Source organism: Homo sapiens, chromosome 6, assembly GCF_000001405.40.
Source record: "Homo sapiens chromosome 6, GRCh38.p14 Primary Assembly".
NCBI classification, from domain to species: Eukaryota; Metazoa; Chordata; class Mammalia; order Primates; family Hominidae; genus Homo; species Homo sapiens.
In genome coordinates, this window is record NC_000006.12 from 147,551,344 (window position 1) to 147,570,370 (window position 19,027).

General features: G+C 38.7%; 1 protein-coding gene across 2 annotated transcripts in view; it reads left to right on the forward strand.

Moving 5' to 3' along the window:
- Positions 1-19,027, forward strand: part of SAMD5 (sterile alpha motif domain containing 5) — a 445,991-nt gene that overhangs the window by 42,654 nt on the left and 384,310 nt on the right. The window contains exon 2 of one of the 2 annotated variants that reach the window (NM_001030060.3): positions 13,051-18,678. The exons of the other annotated variant lie outside the window; for it this stretch is intronic. Coding sequence (NP_001025231.1) covers positions 13,051-13,113 — 63 coding nt within the window. The 3' untranslated portion in view covers positions 13,114-18,678. Of the gene's footprint in view, positions 1-13,050; positions 18,679-19,027 lie in introns of those variants that run through there. 2 annotated transcript variants of the gene reach the window in all.

Genomic DNA, 19,027 nt, shown 5'->3' on the forward strand with positions numbered 1-19,027 from the left:
AAAATGCTCTACTTTGTGGGGTGAAGGAGAGAAATTAAGGGGGAATGTAATTTTGGCTGTTAAGGAAATACCATTTTCTTTTAACGTAATTAAGTTCTTGATTGTGATGCTCTTAAATGAACCATGAAATTCTAAGCACTTACCATGCGAGTGTGATTTTTAACTAAGCCTTTTTTTTTCTACCCCCAATCTGAATGTTAAGGTGGCAGATGCATAACTAATCTTAGCTGAATCTATATTAAGAAATCAGCAAGGTGTCTTTATTTAACTTCCATGATGTGTGAATATAATGTAATGTTGAATAGCATGATTTTGCACATTATGTCCTAAAATAAAAACAACTCCCTTAAAGTGATAGTAAAATGCAGTAATGTGAAAGGTTATTTTTTATTCGATCTCAAACGAAATGAAAAGCACAGAAGAAAAGAATTGGAGACCTTATTCTTAAATGTGATTCTTATATATATGTTATATATATATATATATATATATATGTATATATGTATTTTAACATTTTAATTTATATATATGTAATATTTTTAAACCTGAAAAACCAGTGTTTGGGTTTGTATTCTATGTCACACAGAGGAAGCTCCTATCAGCAGAAGAGAGGTTCTAAAATCCTTGTTATCGGAGTTTAAATTTTCTGAAAAATATCCCACCCGTTGAGCTTCTATGTTCTTGCTCTGGGATGTTTCCATGGGTCTGTATTAGTTCCAGGAAATTTGGGTCCTTTCTATTTTATCTCTGGAATTGAGGTTCCTGCAGAAACTACAAGGGATTATCTGTGTTCTTTGCTGTTTAATGTCTTTGCTGCAGTGAGACAGATTCCTGAAGGAGTAAACAATGAAATGTTTTAAGGCTAACTGTGGGAGATTATGTGGAGAGGAAATACAGCTATTCTGAGAGAAGACATATAAAATGTTGGCCTGTTGCTTCTTGAAGTAATACTGTAAAGACCTCTTGCCTGTTGTACATTAACCAATGCAAGCATGTTATAGTTGAAGTTGGGATTCTGGGGTTCACCTTTTTCTCAGTTAATGAATTTTTATTTTAATGTAATTGAATTTTCTTTAAGAATCCAATTTCCACTTCAGAAGATACCATTCCCCTGGGAAAGTGGCTCCCAATCCAAAGAACATAGACCCTTGAGGAATTAATACAAGACTCTTGGAACCTATTTGGGCATCAACCATTGTCAGTGAACATCTGCATAAATAGTGTTTTATATAAACACATTTGAAGGTGTTCTTACATTTTTGGTCACTTTTAAAGCAGTACTTTTTCTCAATCAAAGGGTAGCAGGAAAATAAGAAAAGCCTAACAGTAAGGTGACTCTGTGTGTGTGTTTGTGCACATGCATACATATGCCTGTGTGGGGCGGGGTTGCGGAGGCGCAGTCTGTGTTTTTAAAAACAATTAAAGAGGTCTTTATGCTTTAACAAGCTGAGAACTACTATGGTAGTTATGTTCTGTAGGGCATGCTTCACAAAGCTAAATGAAAAATTTTAAAGTTAATGACTAAACAGTGCTTAAAGCATACACATTATTCATGATTTATTCTAATAACATTTGTGGATGACTAACTTAATAATGGTGCTGAACATCCATTATGTTTTTGTTCTAAAGATGTGTCTAAGTATCTATGCCTCCTTAGGGGTGGGTTTACATCACTCAGTGATTGAACTAAGATATATAATTCCATGTCTTTGTATAGAACAGGTACTGGAAAAATCAACCAGTTATATAGGCTTCCACTGTGCCAGATACTGTTCTAAACAGTCTTGTAGATATTAGCCCATTTAATCCTCATGATAACTCTCTGGGATGTAGGGACTGCTGTGGTTCCTATTTTGTAGAGGGGGAACTGAAGCGGAGAATGGTTAGGTTGGGTAATATGCCCAAGGCCATCCATCCAGGAAATGGCAGAGCTGGACTTTGAATCCAGAGTCTGAGCAGATCCCTTGCCCTGTCCTGCTTCCATCAGAGGACTTCATGTCTGTCCTGGCAGGAAGGGATAGGATGACTGCTGGGGAATACCTAGAGGCTGGCTGGTTTGGTTTGAGGTAGTATGCCTCATGTGTTCTCCACTCCCTAACCCCAACTACCAAATTGTTTTCTCTCTTTCTGTATCTTTCTCTTTCTCATATACAATCTCACATACCTACAACCACTCTGGACCCACGCTGGACACGATGCCATAAGGTTACCTTGGACAATGGCTGAGAGGTCCTTTGGTCTGGGCTTTGTTCCTAAACCTTCCCCTAGGAATTGTCACTGCATAACACCCAGCATGAATGGGTAAGGTCTCCAATGCATAATACAACTCAGTCCTATTTACGTGTTTTCCTGCTTTAGGTAACACATTTGTGTTTCTTCCGAGTTCATTTGGACAAGGTCAGTGTCTTGAGGGTTATTCAGATGACTTTATAAGCACTGTTCTTTTAAAGCAGTTAGCCATGGTCTAACTTGAAAGCCACATCACAGCATGTTTTTTTTTTCTGAAAAGTCTGAAAGTGTTCTTTTTCAGCCCTGCCAAAATTGGAGACGAGGTAATGGGACGGAAAACAACACGGGTACCCTGGACTTCCTTCATTCTGGCTGCCACTAAACATGTGTGTTAGTCCATTCTCACACTACTTTAAAGAACTGCTCAAGACTGGGTGATTCAAAAGGGAAAGAGCTTTAATTGACTCACAGAACTGCAGGGCTGGGGAGGCCTCAGGAAACTTACAATTATGGCAGAAGGCAAAGCAAACATGTCCTTTTTCACATGGTGGCAGGAAGGAGAAGTGCTGAGCAAAAGGGGGAAAAGCCCCTTATGAAACCTTCAGATCCTGCAGGAACTCACTATCATGAGAACAACAGTACGGGGGTAACCACCTCTATGATTCAATTACCTTCCGCTGGGTCCCTCCCATGATACATGGGGAATTTTGAGAACTAGAATTTAAGATAAGTTTTGGGTGGGGACACAGCCAAACCATATCAACATGCAAATGTGCCTGGGAAAGAATCGCTAAAGAGGATGACGCTGTTGTCTTGCTTCCTTGCCCCTTCCGATTCATCAAGTGAGGTCGTGGCCAGTGGAGGCCAGGCTTCAGTGTTTGGGGAACTGAGCTTGGTTGCCAGGAGGCCACAGGCTATTTTGATATGGCAGGCTGGCTGCACTCACAATTGCTGGGTCACTTCAAAAGCTCTTGTGATTGGCAAGGCTGGCAAGCACAGTCCTTCAGAGAAGCATGTTTTTTCCAGGCAGAGCAGCCATCTTTGCAACCCCCTCACCAGACAGGAGAGAAAAGTCACCTCACCTTAATGGCAGGAAGGTTCCAGACTTCCCAGTTCCTTGGACTGAGCCAGATGAGAGCCAGAAGGGTGAATGTGGAGCGATTGCTAGGATGGAGCTATCATTTGAATGGGCAGAATTCTATTTCAGACTGATGACTTGGTTGGACGCTTGATGCTGATTTTGTGATGCCTACCTTAACTTCTTGTATCCAGAAGTGGTATAGAGCAGTAGTTCTCAAAGTGCCGTCCCCAAGGCCCTTTCAGGGGGTCTGCAAGGTAATAATTATTGCATAACAATACTATAATGTGATGTTATTTGCCTCTTTCACTGGGAGGGCATTTGTACTGGCAGCACAAAAGCAACAGTGGATAAAAATGTTAACGTCGACCTGTGTTAGTACTTACTGGATTCTTCACCCATATGCACACCCACATATACCTGCCAAAAGAAGCAATTTTTCCTTAAAATAGCCTTGATGAAGCAGTAGAAATTAATGTTTATTAAATCTCCACCTTTGTGTACATGATTTTGAATATTCTGTGTAACAAAATGAGAACTACTCATAAAGCACTTCTGTTGCAAATGGACGTGTATGTAAATCTTGTCTCCTTGCAAACCACTTGTGCTCTTGTTTGAGTTGCTGGCTGAACTGGCTGCATTTTCCATGTAACACCATTTTCACTTGAAAGAACAACTGAGAACAAGCCATGCTTATTTAGACTTGGGTATTTGGCAGATTTCTTAAAAATAACTAAAGTGAACCTAATATTTCAAGAAGCATAATTGACAGTATCTGTTGCTAATGATGAAATTTGAATGTTCAAGTGAAAACAAGAATTTCAGAAAACTTATACTTGCCCCAGTGAGTTTGATAGTTTCATACTGCCTAAATATTTTTTTTGATTAGGCTACCTTGGGTGGTGATATTAACACATGGAATTTTTAAAATATATTGAATAATGATATGTGTCAACATTTGGAAGATCTGCGTAATTCAGAAACTGAATATTTTCCAAATGACCAATACATGATACCATAAAATCATGTATGGGGGAAAAAGTCAATCAAAAGTTGAAGATTGACCAATGATTTTAATGTAATAAACAGTAAGAAAAGTTCATTGATATGGTTTCAAATTTCACATGGCAAGTGACTTTTAAGAAACCGCCGCTTGTCAAGTTTTGCCATGGTATTAAAATGAATATCTACAATTATTTATCTGAAAAGTCTGTTCAGATACTCCCTACTTTTTCAATGATACTTCTCTGTGAGGTCAGATGTGCTTCATATACTTCAATTAAAAACATATTGCCACAGATTGAATATAGAGAGATATAAAGAGACATACAGAGATATGCACAAATGTAAAACAATGCCATTCTTCTTAATTTTGGGGAGAATATATGTTTATTTTTCACAAAAATATTTGTGTTAATATGTAATGCATTTACTAGTGTTATTATTATTTTTTTTTTTTTGAGATGGAGTCTTGCTCTGTCGCCCAGGCTGGAGTGCAGTGGTGTGATCTTGGCTCACTGAAAGCTCCGCCTCTTGGGCTCATGCCATTCTCCCGCCTCAGCCTCCCGAGTAGCTGGGACTACAGGCGCCTGCCACCACGCCCGGCTAATTTTTTGTATCTTTAGTAGAGACGGGGTTTCACCGTGTTAACCAGGATGGTCTCGATCTCCTGACCTCGTGATCCACCTGCCTCAGCCTCCCAAAGTGCTGGGATTACAGGCGTGAGCCACCGTGCCCGGCTACTAGTGTTATTTTTAAATGAATTAAATATGTATTTTAAATATTTCACAGTTACAATTTAAAACACAGTACATATCAATAGTTATAACCCATAAAACAAAGCTATTTGGAATCTTCAGTAATTTTTAAGAATTCAAATGGCTCTTAGAACCAAAACCAGAGAATGGCCGGGATACAACATTGCAGTGTTCTCAAGTGGAGGTTTCTGAGCTGTCATGAAATTACAAAAAGTTTCCCAGGTTGGGAATAGTGACTTTTCATTATATAGTTTTAAATACATCAGAGACAATTACTTAAATAATTTTATCTTTAAAATGAAAACTTTGTAGAGCTCAAATATGCTTACATCACATATTAAACTCTCATTCTTCAATAACTGATATAAAAACAAAAATACTGGCAATTATTTTCAATTTTAATTTATCAGAAATAAATTATATCTACAACGATAGTATGTTATTTATAGAGCAATGCTTGAAAGTGGCCACTAAAACCTTCTCTCTTGTCTTGCAATTTAAAATAAATCACAAATATTCAAGTAAATAATAAATAAACCAGCGGATATTTTGAGCAAAAGAAAAACAGTAGTTCTGTATGTTGACTGTTTTCTAGTTTTGATGCTGTAACCAATAGTTAAATCTCAGTCTGCATATTAATATACATGGAGTCAACATATAAACATATAGTTTTTAATGTATTTTAACAAATCATATTTTTCATACATAATTTAAAGTTTGCATCATTTATTGAATAGGAAGAAGTCAAACTTTTTCATTATGACATTAAATATAACTAAATAAGCATCATGCATAACATTTTATATTCTGAATAAAAATAAAATACTTTTGTCTAAAATCACCTTTGTATCAATGAAGGGATTAAAAAACATTTCTAATAACATTTAAAATTCTATCTTTCCTGCAAAGGAGCCTATGTTTTCTAGGGCTTGTAACAAAATAATACCAACTGTGTGTTAAAACAACAGAAGTTTGTTTTCTCACAGTTCACAGCCAGAAGTCTGAAATCAACGTGTCAGCAAGGCCATGCTGCCTCCAGAGCCTCTAGGGGAGACTCTTTCCTTGTCTTTTCCAGCTTCCAGTGGCTTCTGGCATTCCTTGGCTTGTGGCTGCACCACTCCACTCTCTGCTTCCACTTTCACCTGGCCTCTTGTTGGTATGTCCCTGTGTCCTCTCCTCTCCTTTCCTTGTGAGAACACCAGGGATTAGATTCAGGGCCCACCCTAAATCCAGGATAATTTCATCTTGAGATCCTTAATTAAGAACATCTGCAGAGACTCTATTTCCAAATAAGGTCACATTCTGAGGTTCCAGGTGGATGTGAATTTTGTGAGGGGGGACACTATTCAACCATTACAGTTTCCCAACATAAAATGATTGCAGAGCATAGAAGTAGTTTTGATAAAGTGGGCTTTGCTGTTGCACAGACCCACCCTGCCACTGATTAGCAGTTTGACCCTGGTAGGTTGTCTACACTTTAAAGCCTCAGATTCTTCATTTATAAAGTTGGGTCTAGGATCGCCATCACATTGGCTTGTGGTAAGCAGTAAAGGTGATTATGTAAAAGTGTACGTTCACATCACAGTCCCTGGGAGGTAGGCACAGAGGGAGTTCACTCAGTAAATATTAGCAGCCGTTTGCTGCTGTTGCTGGAGCAGGCAGGTAATAATAATCATAGTATGTTCTATAAGCATACCGTCATGGCAATTATATTGGTGATAATTGAAGTATGAGTTAGCAGATTAATGTTAATGGTGATTTCAAAGACAATTAGTATACAATAATAGATGATTTTCCTGTGGAATAGGTTGATGAGAGACAGAGACAGAAGGAGGGAGAGAATGAGAACTTCAAGTGAGCAGCCCAGGAGCCTGATGAGAGCCAGGCAACAGAAGTGTTGTATCCAAAGACCCACCATATTTTAACGAACTGCAGTAGAGGCCAGACACTGGCGTTCAGCACACTCCAGCATTTATGGCTATTTCTGTTCTGGGCTTGTGCTGCGTAATTATAAGGCCTGTGTCTTGATCACATTTTGGATGGTATTCGGAGAACCTGAATCACAAGACAGAGGAAAAATCTAAAGGCATCTATCACTGTGATTCCAGACAATCCAATCTAAACCTGCCCTCCTGCAGCTGTCAAATTGATTTCCTGTCACAGCTCTCTTGGTGGCTATTTTCGAATCTCCCCCCCGTCCTCCTAGAAACTCTGCCCTTGCCCCTCTCATGGGCTCTTCTGCAGGTAGCTTTGGCCCATCAGAACTGAGAAGTGGTCCGTGGCACAGTCCCGCCCTCCCTCACTCACCTCCAAATGTGTGGGCCCACTGACCCATCTGTCTTCATTCCTTCTGATTTTGATGAGAAATTACCCCACTCCCCTTTAAGGCTAACTCCCACCTCATCTACTCCGACCCAGGTGATAATTATGGTTCATAATTATCCCTTTGTTTTTTGCATTTAGTCTGTCTCCATGGAATCCTTCCACTCCGCCTGAAAATATGCCCAAGCTCCCTCTTCGTTCTTAAAATCGCTGTCCTTTCCAACTACCAAATACCTCCTTAATCGTTCTATTAAACTTCTTGAAAGAGTGGTGACCTAGCCCCCACTTCTTGTTGTGATCAGCTGTTAATTATTAAATAATGGTTGAAAGTACAGTACAGAATTCCCAACAGTTAAATTCCCGGTCATTTCTTCCTGATTGAGATAAGGCACGGCCCTGACTCCAGGCGGTAAGGCGGCACTGGCCTCAGAAGCAACTGTCTCTGGGTGCACTGGCGGCAGCCTGCAGACCACAGCCCTGTGGGGTGTTCTTTTGTGTAGGAAGTTGGCATTCTCAGAAGCGTCAGTGATGAGTACAGCAAAGTACTTTTAAGAAAGTAGGGAATTTGCATAGCTATGCAGTTGGAAAAATTATAAAATCGGTTAATGCCCCAGGATAGCATAAACAAAGAGGCTTTTGTTTTTTTAACTCTGAATTTGTTTCTGATAGTTTTTTTCTGAAGAAAAAGCAGTAGGAAAATGTCCAGCCAGCCTCTCCACTATACTTTTCATTTGCTGAAAGCCGCAGAGAAGTCATGAATGAAGGTTAGAAACCGTGTAGAAGCTGCAGAAAAGTCCCGAATGAAGTTTAGAACTTGTGTGGCCCTGAAGAGGCAGCGAGAAGCCCTGAATTTTTCTCCAGGAAGTAGAGAAAATTATTTCACTTACTAAGGACACACCTCGGAGGAAGACAGGACAGTGAGAAGAGTTTATAATTAGGATGACATTTGGGTAGTTGCCTCTAAAGTAAAAAAAAGAAAATACATGTAGATCATAATGTGGATCATTCTAGAGTAGGCCAAACATTTTTCTCTTCTATAGAATCTTAGAAAATGTACCCTAGAAAACTCTTTAAATAGAAAAAGAGCATATCAGGACACGTGTGTATGCCAGCTATTTGTATAACCTAACATTGCATCCTTCAGCCTGTTGGGGTTCTGGAGCCAGCCTGAGCCTTCCCCATTGTAGAAGCCGAAGAGGAGATGCTTAGAGGAAAGATGATTGTTAAGACACATATGGGCTCAGTGAACATATGTTATCATGTTTTCTTTATTGTGTAGGCAATAAAGACTATCTGACTTTCTAGACTAAACTTTTCCAATAGGAACTTAGTTTAGTGAAAAATTTTTGTGAAAATTATAGTAGGGACGATTCAATCGGTCAGCAGTAGTAGTGGCTGACATTACATATAATGCTCCTATAGGAGATATGAACAAATGTAAAATGTGGGGGTTTTGCCCTTGGAGAAATTTACAGTTACAGTGAGGCTCTCCATGCAAATTCCCACCTTTCTTGGTCCTATAGTAACAGCCAGTGTAACGTAGCTGAATGTTGGAAAACTGAAGTTGAGTTATGTCATGAGGTCAAAAAATCTTGTGTCTTGTCACCAACCACCCAAAGGCTCTGCTTTGTGCCCCTGTGTTACCCAGAAGGATGGAAAGCAACACTCCTACTGTCATCAATTTTTTTGTTACACAGTTGTCTCCCAAATTGTATGCAAATTTCATACTATTAATATACAGTCACCGGTTATATTTCTTCAGCAACCAAATATGGAAAATGTGTGTCAACTGGTTCTACAGCTGCAATTGAGCTACATCCTTTAGAATAATGTCACAATAGAGAAATGACTTCTGAATGGTGTTTAGCCTGCATATCACTCTGATTGCCTTTAATTAGGAGGAAAATCACAAGCTAAAAAGAGTAACAGACTTGAAGTCAGTTAAAAATCAGAGTAATCAACTGAGAAAAAAATGCAATCTCATAAATCTTAATTTTTAACCATAGGATAATAGTTTCTTTATTCATTGAATAACTTTTACTGCCTCTCCCTGCTTCTCAGATTAGAATTCTAACACTGATAGGAGATTTGGCATAGGAGAACTGCCTAGCCTCTGAAATGAAAGGCCCCTCAAACCCCATAAAAGCCTAGAACAAATGAAACTGAGAAAGTCACAACCCAAGAATTAGGTTTGGGTGGCTTGAATGTAAGAACTTCCTGATTGAGAGTGGTCTCAAAGTCAAAGGGGGAGAATAGACTAACTGTGATGTAAACCTTTTAGCAATGTTTTCCTAGAAATAGGGAGATAATAATTTGGCACACTACAAAGAAACTTCTGGCAATCACTTTAAAAAACAACAATAACAAAACCTTGTCTTTAAAAATGCAAAATGTTAGGGGTGTTAAGACACCAAAATATAACTTGGTATTTATTCCTGCAGAGGTTGGCTTTTATGAATTTATTTATTTATTTATTTATTTTGAGACGGAGTCTCTGTCACCAGGCTGGAGTGCAGTGCCTGATCTCGGCTCACTGCAACCTCCAGCTCCCGGATTCAAGCCATTCTCCTGCCTCAGCCTCCTGAGTAGCTGGGACTACAGGCACGTGCCACCACGCCCAGCTAATTTTTGTATTTTTAGTAGAGACAGGGTTTCACCATTTTGGCCAGGATGGTCTCGATCTCCTAACCTACCTTGTGATCTGCCTGCCTCGGACTCCCAAAGTGCTGGGATTACAGGCGTGAGCCACTGTGCCTGGCTGGCTTTCATGAATTTTAAGAAGGGATCAATGCCTTTCATGATTTTTAAGTCAACCTAGTATGATAACCGAGAAAGAAGACTGTGAACACATGTGAATAGATTATTTTTCTTGGTGGAGTGAAGAAAGAGCTTTTATTTTCTTCATAGGGGTGTGCCTAATAATTAAGGGGGAAAATGAAATATGAGAAATGTGTGATACGTATGGGGACAGCTCTGTAATAGTTGTCTTCAGCAGTTACCTCCTTCAAGCTTGTCAGAATTTTAAAACCGTTCATTTCTGTTCCACTTGAAGAGTGAGATCTATCAAGACCAGCCTCTGGAGTGCCACAATGTGATCAGCCAGAAAAGAATGACGGCGCATTCGGCACAGGGAAATCACTGACGTTTCCTATGGTCATGAAGCAACATATGCTCCACTAATTACTGTTTTCTGTGACTGCTCTCACATCTTGAAACTCTCCATGACCCATTGCGGAAATCCTGTTCATCTGCCCCCCACCTACTCCCTCAGTGAATGAAAAATAGCAGATTGCAAGGCTGGACTTGTTTAATGAATGTGATTTGTTTTTGTGGAATCAGAGGCATGAGAGGTTTTGGAGGCTGTTAGTTTGACACTAGATTTGTGAAATGACTTCATAGTCCACACCGTTAGATGGGTTTATAGGCAGGGTGTCTTTACTTGCTAAATGATAATCTGTCCAAAGGCATTTTCTTTATTTTTCTATGTTTCTAGAGCAAAGTGACCTTTGAAGGAAGGCAGCATCATGTCTCTGACTTCAGGCAGAAGTCTGTTGAACATGGGGCAGACATGGAATCTTGCATTATAATGAGAATGTCTTCAAGAAAAGCGGACTCCCTCTGTGGCCTTTTCTTCTCTTGGAAGTAGTCTTGTTGCCATCTGAGTGACCCCTAACACTATAACCTAAGGATTTTCCTGGATTTTTTTTCTGACACAAATAGCTTGTTTTCTTGTACTGTATAGTAAATGCAATTTTTGGTGTTAACACCTTTTTATGTATTCATTTATTAGAGCATTAAAAACCAAAGTGTTGGCCGGGTGTGGTGGCTCACGCCTGTAATCCCAGCACTTTGGGAGGCTGAGGCGGGTGGATCACGAGGTCAGGAGATCAAGACCATCCTGGCTAACACGGTGAAACTCCGTCTCTACTAAAAATACAAAAAATTAGCCGGGCTTGGTGGCGGGCGCCTGTAGTCCCAGCTATTCGGGAGGCTGAGGCAGGAGAATGGCGTGAACCCGGGAGGCGGAGCTTGCAGTGAGCCGAGATCGCACCACTGCACTCCAGCCTGGGAGACAGAGCGAGACTCCGTCTCAAAAAAAAATAAATAAATAAATAAAACCCAAAGTGTTACCTTGTTTATATTCAGGTAACTTCCCTTCTCTATGGAATTTTCCCTCACTCCTCCTTCCTCCCCACAAAAGCCCAACAACTTGGTTTGTTCAGATAGGTTGAAGATTACTTTTTCGCAGTTTATAACAAGAGCTGATGTTTAATAGAGGTATTGGGTTGCATATGGCTTTATTTTGGCGACTATTTGAATATATTAAATAGTAGTAGGATATCGTTACTTAGTATTACAGCAAAATAGGATGATTCTCTGGAGAAAGAAACTTCGTAAGCCTGGATAGTAATACTTACCATCTATTTAGATGTGATTGCCTGATGGTGTCACCCAAACTAATTAATAATGACATATTAGCTAACATATTGCCGTCAGCAGGTGGCTGTTTGAGCAGGGGTGAAAATGGCAGGTGCTAAAACAAATTGCTGTACCTTAGAGAAATGTACAGAATTCTTCTTTTAAAGAGTCTTGATGATGTCTGCAGTATGATTTTTATTTTTTGGGAGCTTACAAGGCTTGGAGAGGTTGCAGAGATAGAGACTAGGAAAACAAAACAAAACAAAGGAGAACAAAATTGATTTAACCTTTTCCAAAAGTTTTCCAATTCAATAAGCAAGCGGTTGAATCTAAGCAGCACAAAATTTCCAGGAAAGACTCAGGCATCCTTCTTCCTTCCAACTTTCCTTTTCTTCCTCTTCTTTGTCCATCTAGATCTGTCAAGGGATTGTGGGCACACAGCAGAGCCATGACAGATGGGCAGTGCACTGTAATCTACTGCTGCCTTTCAATTTCAGAGGGATCATTGTGACAATGAAGGGGTTAAAACTGTCAACACCTATCAGAGCTTGGAGATAATTAGTGTAATATAAACCCAAGAACTTTGATGGCAAAGACCACACAGCAAATGAATTCGACTAGGTTGCTGCTTTGTAAGAAATACTTAATTAACCTCTTTCCAGCTCACGTGCAACTATGGTTTTTACATGCCTATGTGAAAAAGTTACTGTTTATACATACAGATGATAATGATTAAATATGACTGTGAATCATTTTTACTTTGGAAGATGCATTTCAAACTAGCACTTGCAGCTACAAGTTGAAAAGATAAGTGCTCTTCCAGCATGAGATAGGTCGCCTTTGGAATGTCTCACAATGTATTGACTATTGCTCTAGTACTAACGTTGCTAACGTGTAGTACTGAGTAATGTGACTTAGGAATGCAAACTATTACAAGGTATATTTTTATCTAACCATTTTTTTTTAAGTTTCCACCTCTTAGAAGGAACATAAAAGGAAAATAAAGTAGGCCTTTTTAAACAAAATATAGGCTTGACAAGGATAAAATGCATTCTTTTTTAATTAGCTTGAAAGAGAAAATTGATAGATAACAAGCAAAAACTCTTAGGGCTGTTCTTCAAAAGTCCATGTGGTAAGCAGAAAGGGACAAGAATGACTTAAAAATAGGAGCAGAAATCCATGATGGACTAGGGGAAGAATGGGTAAAGGAGAACTTCAATAACCCAGATATGTTCAAATCCACAGGTCCCAATGGCTGGCATCCTAGAGTACTTAATGAATTGGCCGAAGTCATCACAGAGCCGCTAGATATCATTTTTGAGACCTCGTGGAGGACTGATGAGGTGCCTGAAGACTGGAAAAGGGCATATTTAGAACCTTCTTTCAAAAAGGGAAATGGATGATGACCCTGGAAATACTCATCAGCTTAACTTTTTGCTTGGACAAATTCTGGAATAATCAACTTAGTAAACTGGGTAACTGGCTTATAACAGCTAGAAATAAGGCAGTGAACTATCACGCATAAAGAAGTATTGAGTTCATTTTTTTAAGAAGATATCATGATGAGATACAGTCTTATGCATTTCTTGGCATTCTCCCTTCCATTCTTAATGAAAACAGATGAGGTTGGCTAAGGCATTTGAGTCATAACTTAGTTTAAGTACAATATAACAAAAAGGTAGATTTCTGACAGTAAGTAGTAATTATATTATTTCCAAATTTGCTTTTAACTTGAGAACAGTAGCTTTAATTTTTATATTCAAGCATACATTCTACTTCATTTCATATAGGACCATGTTTTTATAAGATAAGATACATAATTCTATGTAGAATAGTTTGGTGAAGGAATTCTTATTTTAAGGTGCTTTTATATAGTTATTTTGTATATTGGTACAATGTTAAAGGTGATGAATTAAGGAACATCACCAAGAGAGGACAATTTCTTCTAACTTCTCTTTTTAAATTTAATCTGGCTGAGGTTTAGTATTAGGACTAATACAAGTGTCTTGCTCTGACATGCATCAAGCAAGAGCTAGCTATTTTACTTCATAGCTAGTTTCTTGCACTCTGTGGAGACTGCCAGGGCCGCAGCTCACAGCCTGTTCTGAGCTGCAGTGCTTTATCCCACCTTGCTCTCCAGGCTTCTGACTTCAGGCCTGTGGGGGCCGGGAGGTGGGCAGCGGCAGTGGCCTGAGGAGCCCTGTAGAACTACGGCTGAAAAAGAAAGTAGATTGAGGTGGGGGGAGGAAATTAACAGGAATCTAGAGTTTTTCTAATTCTTATCGTCTTATCGTTCTTGTGTTTGGATGCTGGTAGTTTTTTTTTTTTTAGACAGAGTCTCGCTCTGTCACCCAGGCTGGAGTGTAGTGGCACAATCTTGGCTCACAGTGACTTTCGCCTCCCAGGTTCAAGGAATTCTCCTGCCTCGGCCTCTTGGTAGCTGGGATTACAGGCACGCATCACCACACCCAGCTAATTTTTTTGTATTTTTAGTAGAGATGGGGTTTTACCATGTTGGCCAGGCTGTTCTTGAACTCCTGGCCTCAAATGATCCACTCGCCGTGGCCTCCAGTAGCGCTGGGATTACAGGCGTGAGCCATCACACCCGGCCTGGATGCTGGTAGTTTTATTTTCTGCTTAGAAAACGCAACCATGTTGATGGGACCAAAAACTTAGTTGAAAGAAGCCATGGCAAAAGATGTTGACGTACAACTGGCTCCTGAGGCTGTCAATTGTTTAGAGCTCCCAAGTAGTACTGCATTACGGAATCTACTACTTAGAAGAATGTACAAGATGTAAGTTCCCATCGGCACCGTCATGGTAAGAAGAATAAGAAACTCTCAAAGGAAAAGAAACTTACATTCACTTTTTCCTGGTCCATTTTGGTTCCTAAGAATAGATAGGCCATTAAGAAGGATATTAGGTTTCTAAGGACAATTTTAACACAATACTGCTTTAAAAATCTGAAGTTTAAATAGTTTAGCTATTTCTGTAGGTTAATTCAGGCACTGACTAAAATCAGTCTCATTATCATATACAAATGTAAGGAAGTTAAATTTTAAAAGCATGTATAGGTTGTCCTTAAATTATACAAAAGCTTTTAGTTTCATCAGGATTATATTCCAGTTAACCTTTCATCTTTTTTTTTTTTCCAAATGAACTAGGGTCTTTAAAATTCCTAAGTAGATTCTTTTGAGTGGTAGGGGAGTCTGTATAGATTACAGATATAATTTATTGTGATAACAAATGGCTTCCTGTTTGACCTCATTTCCAGGTGTCGCATCCGTGGCTGATTTATTTCACAGATGTACATTTGCATGTACTTGTTGAACTTTGCTAGGAAGGACTCAATTTTTGAAAAATCTGTTATTTTCACTGTGGGCCTTATGAGGCAATCTACTGCAATGGAAAAAGGGTTCCTTGGTCATTTCAAGTTTTATTTTCTATTAGAGTAATATCTAACTTCAATTATTTTGCCAGGTTTAAACCTTCTCTCTGTGTCTGTGGTTAGAATTTGAAAATAACAATGCTCTGCTTAAAGTAAGAGTCACAGTCAGCAAAAAAAGCCAATGGATTTTAAAAAGACATCTTAGTTAAAGCTAGAGGAAGAAAACTTCAAATAAGCAAAGAAGTATTGAAGGATGCCCACGAATTCCTTTGCATTAAAATCAAGATGAGGTAAGAGGTAGAATATAAGAGAAAGGGATTATTTTTACCATGAATTGTATCTGGGGACAGTTAGTCTTAGAAGGAGTAATTTTTTCAGCGTTTTTCCTCTGTATCTAAACACCAATAATATACTTAATTTTTGAATATAAAAGAAGTAGCAATTGACTAAGAATAAATATGTTATAAAAACTAGGGGATTATCTTGATTTACATTTCCTAGAGTATTAAAAGAGATTAATTACAGACTTTCACTTGATAATATTGAGGAGTCTGGAGGGTCATAGCAAAATTTTCTTTAGTTCATCTTAAAATTTAGGGAGGTAAAAAAAGATTTTATTCACATAAAAGATTTCTTGGCATAGGGAAGGCGTAATGTTAAGGGCTTCTTCCTTACCCAAGTGGGAGCTGAACCAGTAATTGTGGGGAAAACTGAATTTATAGCAACAAAGGATAGTAGTTTCTCAACTGGGAGCATACGAGCAATTTCTCAGTTCAGAGATATTTATAGCATCTTGGTGTTATGCAATAAACAATGACAACAACAAGCATTGAGCTTTCACTTTGGAGTTACTCAGATCTGAGTTTAAATTCTAAAATTATTCTAGTAGTATTTTCCTGCGGTGAATCTGTTAAGGATGTAAGCTATAGTGTAGCTTGGGGAATCATCTTGAACAGTTATGAAACTCATTAAAGCTTCTTTTCCCTTGTCTGTAAAATGGGAAAAATAAATACCTCTATAGCTCTTAAGAGGCTTAAGAGTTCTATGGCTTACACCCACATACAGTCCTTGGCTCAGTGCTAGGCATGTAGCAGGTGCTGACTGCCTCTCTCCCTTCCCTTCTTTACTCTCAGTTGTCTTATTTCTTCTTATGCAGAAGAGATTACCTTAAAGCTGACTAGAAAACTCAGACATAAATTGACATTTCCTTATCATTGCCTGAAACCCACTGAATAAGTCCCCTTTGATTTCTCTCAGGAAGGATAAAAAAGGCTACAGTACCTGCTCATAGGAGTTCAGTAAATGTTTATTGATTGAATGAAAAGAATTTGATTTAAGGAAACAATAACACTCCATCCTGGGCAACAGAGCAAGATCCCGTCTCAAAACAAAACAAAACAAAACAAAACAGCAAATTCATAAAGGCCAGCAGTTTTCAAGTCTGGGGAAATAGGCACATGGACAGATTATATGAAGGTATTTCATTAGCTTTCTTCTCTTTATGGCAGCTTCAGATTGATGAATTTGAGGTACAAATGAGTGAGTGACATATGTATATTTTCCTCTGATTTTATGACTGATTTACAAATTAGGAGTGCAAATGGGCTGTTCCCCGATAGCATCTTCTGGGAAGAATCCAACCAAGATACAAAGCAGATGATGGTGGATCGGCAAACTCTTTTCTATGAAAAGAAAAACCAGATATACCAGGGACTGGAAAGCACCTGCTTGAAAATTGATATGAGCATGTCTGAATTTTTCCCTTATAAGAGCCTGAGTATTGTAACAGGTCTCTTGCACAGGGGGTTGAAAAATAAAAAAAGAAGTTAACATAATTAAAATGCTTGGACAAAACATTTGCTTTATATAGATTCTTACAAGTAATATTTGATTAGGTATCAAAATAGGTTTAGGCAGGTGGAAGTTCTGAATTTCAAGGCAAATAAGGCATGAAGGGTGGAACATTGCATCTAGGGAAAATAAGAGAAATAAGTGAAAGTCTGACCCTACATTGCCAATTCTCAGACCAAGTACAAAGTATTAGGAATTTTTTATATCAGCTGACATCTTGTGCTTACAGTAAAGCCATATAGATGCACACATAGTGACTTTATTAAATCAAATGAGTTGTGCAGAGCAGAGCAAATCTATTAGGCTTTCTCTTTTAGAGTTTTCTAATTTTACTCTTATTAGCTCCCTCAGTTGTCATCAATTACATATTCCTACATCAGATATTTTACACTATCAGATTCTTTGATTAAAAAATCATCTTCAGCTTTACATTATTAATCTCTGAGGACATAAAATCAAATAACTTTCTAGTCCATGATCATTAATCCCTACTATTTTAGATATTTCCATAAAAGGCTTAAAGGGAAAAAAAAATGGTAGGTAGTTCAGAAAAAAATGGCTGGGCACGGTGGCTCACGCCTGTAATCCCAGCACTTTGGGAGGCCGGGGTGGGCAGATCATTTGAGGTCAGGAGTTTGAGACCAGCCTGGCCAACATGGTGAAACCCTGTGTCTACTAAAAATACAAAAAAAATTAGCTGAGTGTGGTGGTGTGCGCCTGTAATCCCAGCTACTAAGGCAGGAGAATGGCTTGAACCCAGGAGGTGGAGGTCGCAGTGAGCTGAGATCGCGCCAGTGCGCTCCAGCCTGGGCAACAGAGTGAGACTCTGTCTAAAAAAAAAAAAAAAAGAAAAGAAAAAAGAAAAATTGAAGAACATAACTTTTCTACTTATGAAATAGATAATTTTTTAAAATTGTTTAAACTCCTGGAAATTAAGTGTTATTTTTTATTACTGCAGTTGAGAGATACCTTTTCAGAGGAAAACAAGAGGCTAAATTCCATGTTAAGAGCTAAGTAGTATTTTTTTCTTAACAATTTTGCCAAAATTTCTTCTACTGGACCAAAAGGAAATAAATCTACAATAAATCTACTTTCTAAATATTATTTAAGATGGGAAATGTCTTTTATAGGTATATTCTGTATAATACCCTTAATTAGATGAATTATCCCTTATCATTCCAAAAATGAAATGCTGTGTTAAATATCTCCAGGGCAAAGTGGTATGTTGACTGGGACAAACGTTAGAAATTGTATTGTTCATTGCACTTGTTGCCCTGTTCCCCAAGCTTGTCAATGTTTAGAGATACTATTCGGGTTGCTAAAGCCATTATTCATAGAAAATTTCTGCCCCTACAGAAGTGTGTGCATGGGCCTTGGAAAATCTACATGTGTATATCTGAGTAGCGAAGCACAGATTCACTCTAATTGAAAGCAGCAGTTTGGTTTTGTAAATGTAATTGCAATTGACACTTTCTTTTCCCTTTCAGTTATTATTTTTTTTAAAGGACGTTATGAGAAGGCACTATGAAAAGCCTAATTGGAATAGCATTATGAACCATGTAATGCATGCCCATGCACACTGTGATTTGCAAACATATGTCCGCTCTTCAATAAATGTTACGGCTTTCACAGCGGTTCCGCCTTGGCCTCTTTTGTAATCTTCCACATCTTGATGAATGTGATGGAGTTTGTGCATTGTTTAAATTGACAATATGTAAATATTTATGGTATGCATTATGGTCAGCATGGGAAATCAGAGTTCTAACGGGAAAGAAAGGAAAAAGTGGGTCTTGCCACACTGTACATCAAAGTGAAATAAATCCATCTTACGAGCTGGGATCCTTTGGTATGGTTGTTATATGTGAGTATGTTGTCGCCTTCTCTTGTGTGATTCTGTGCCAGTCATGGTGGCTCACCGCGGTGGGAGATGGGATGGTGGGGGCTGTCGGGTGGTAAGAGGGGCTGTGTGTGGAGTTTCTGTAC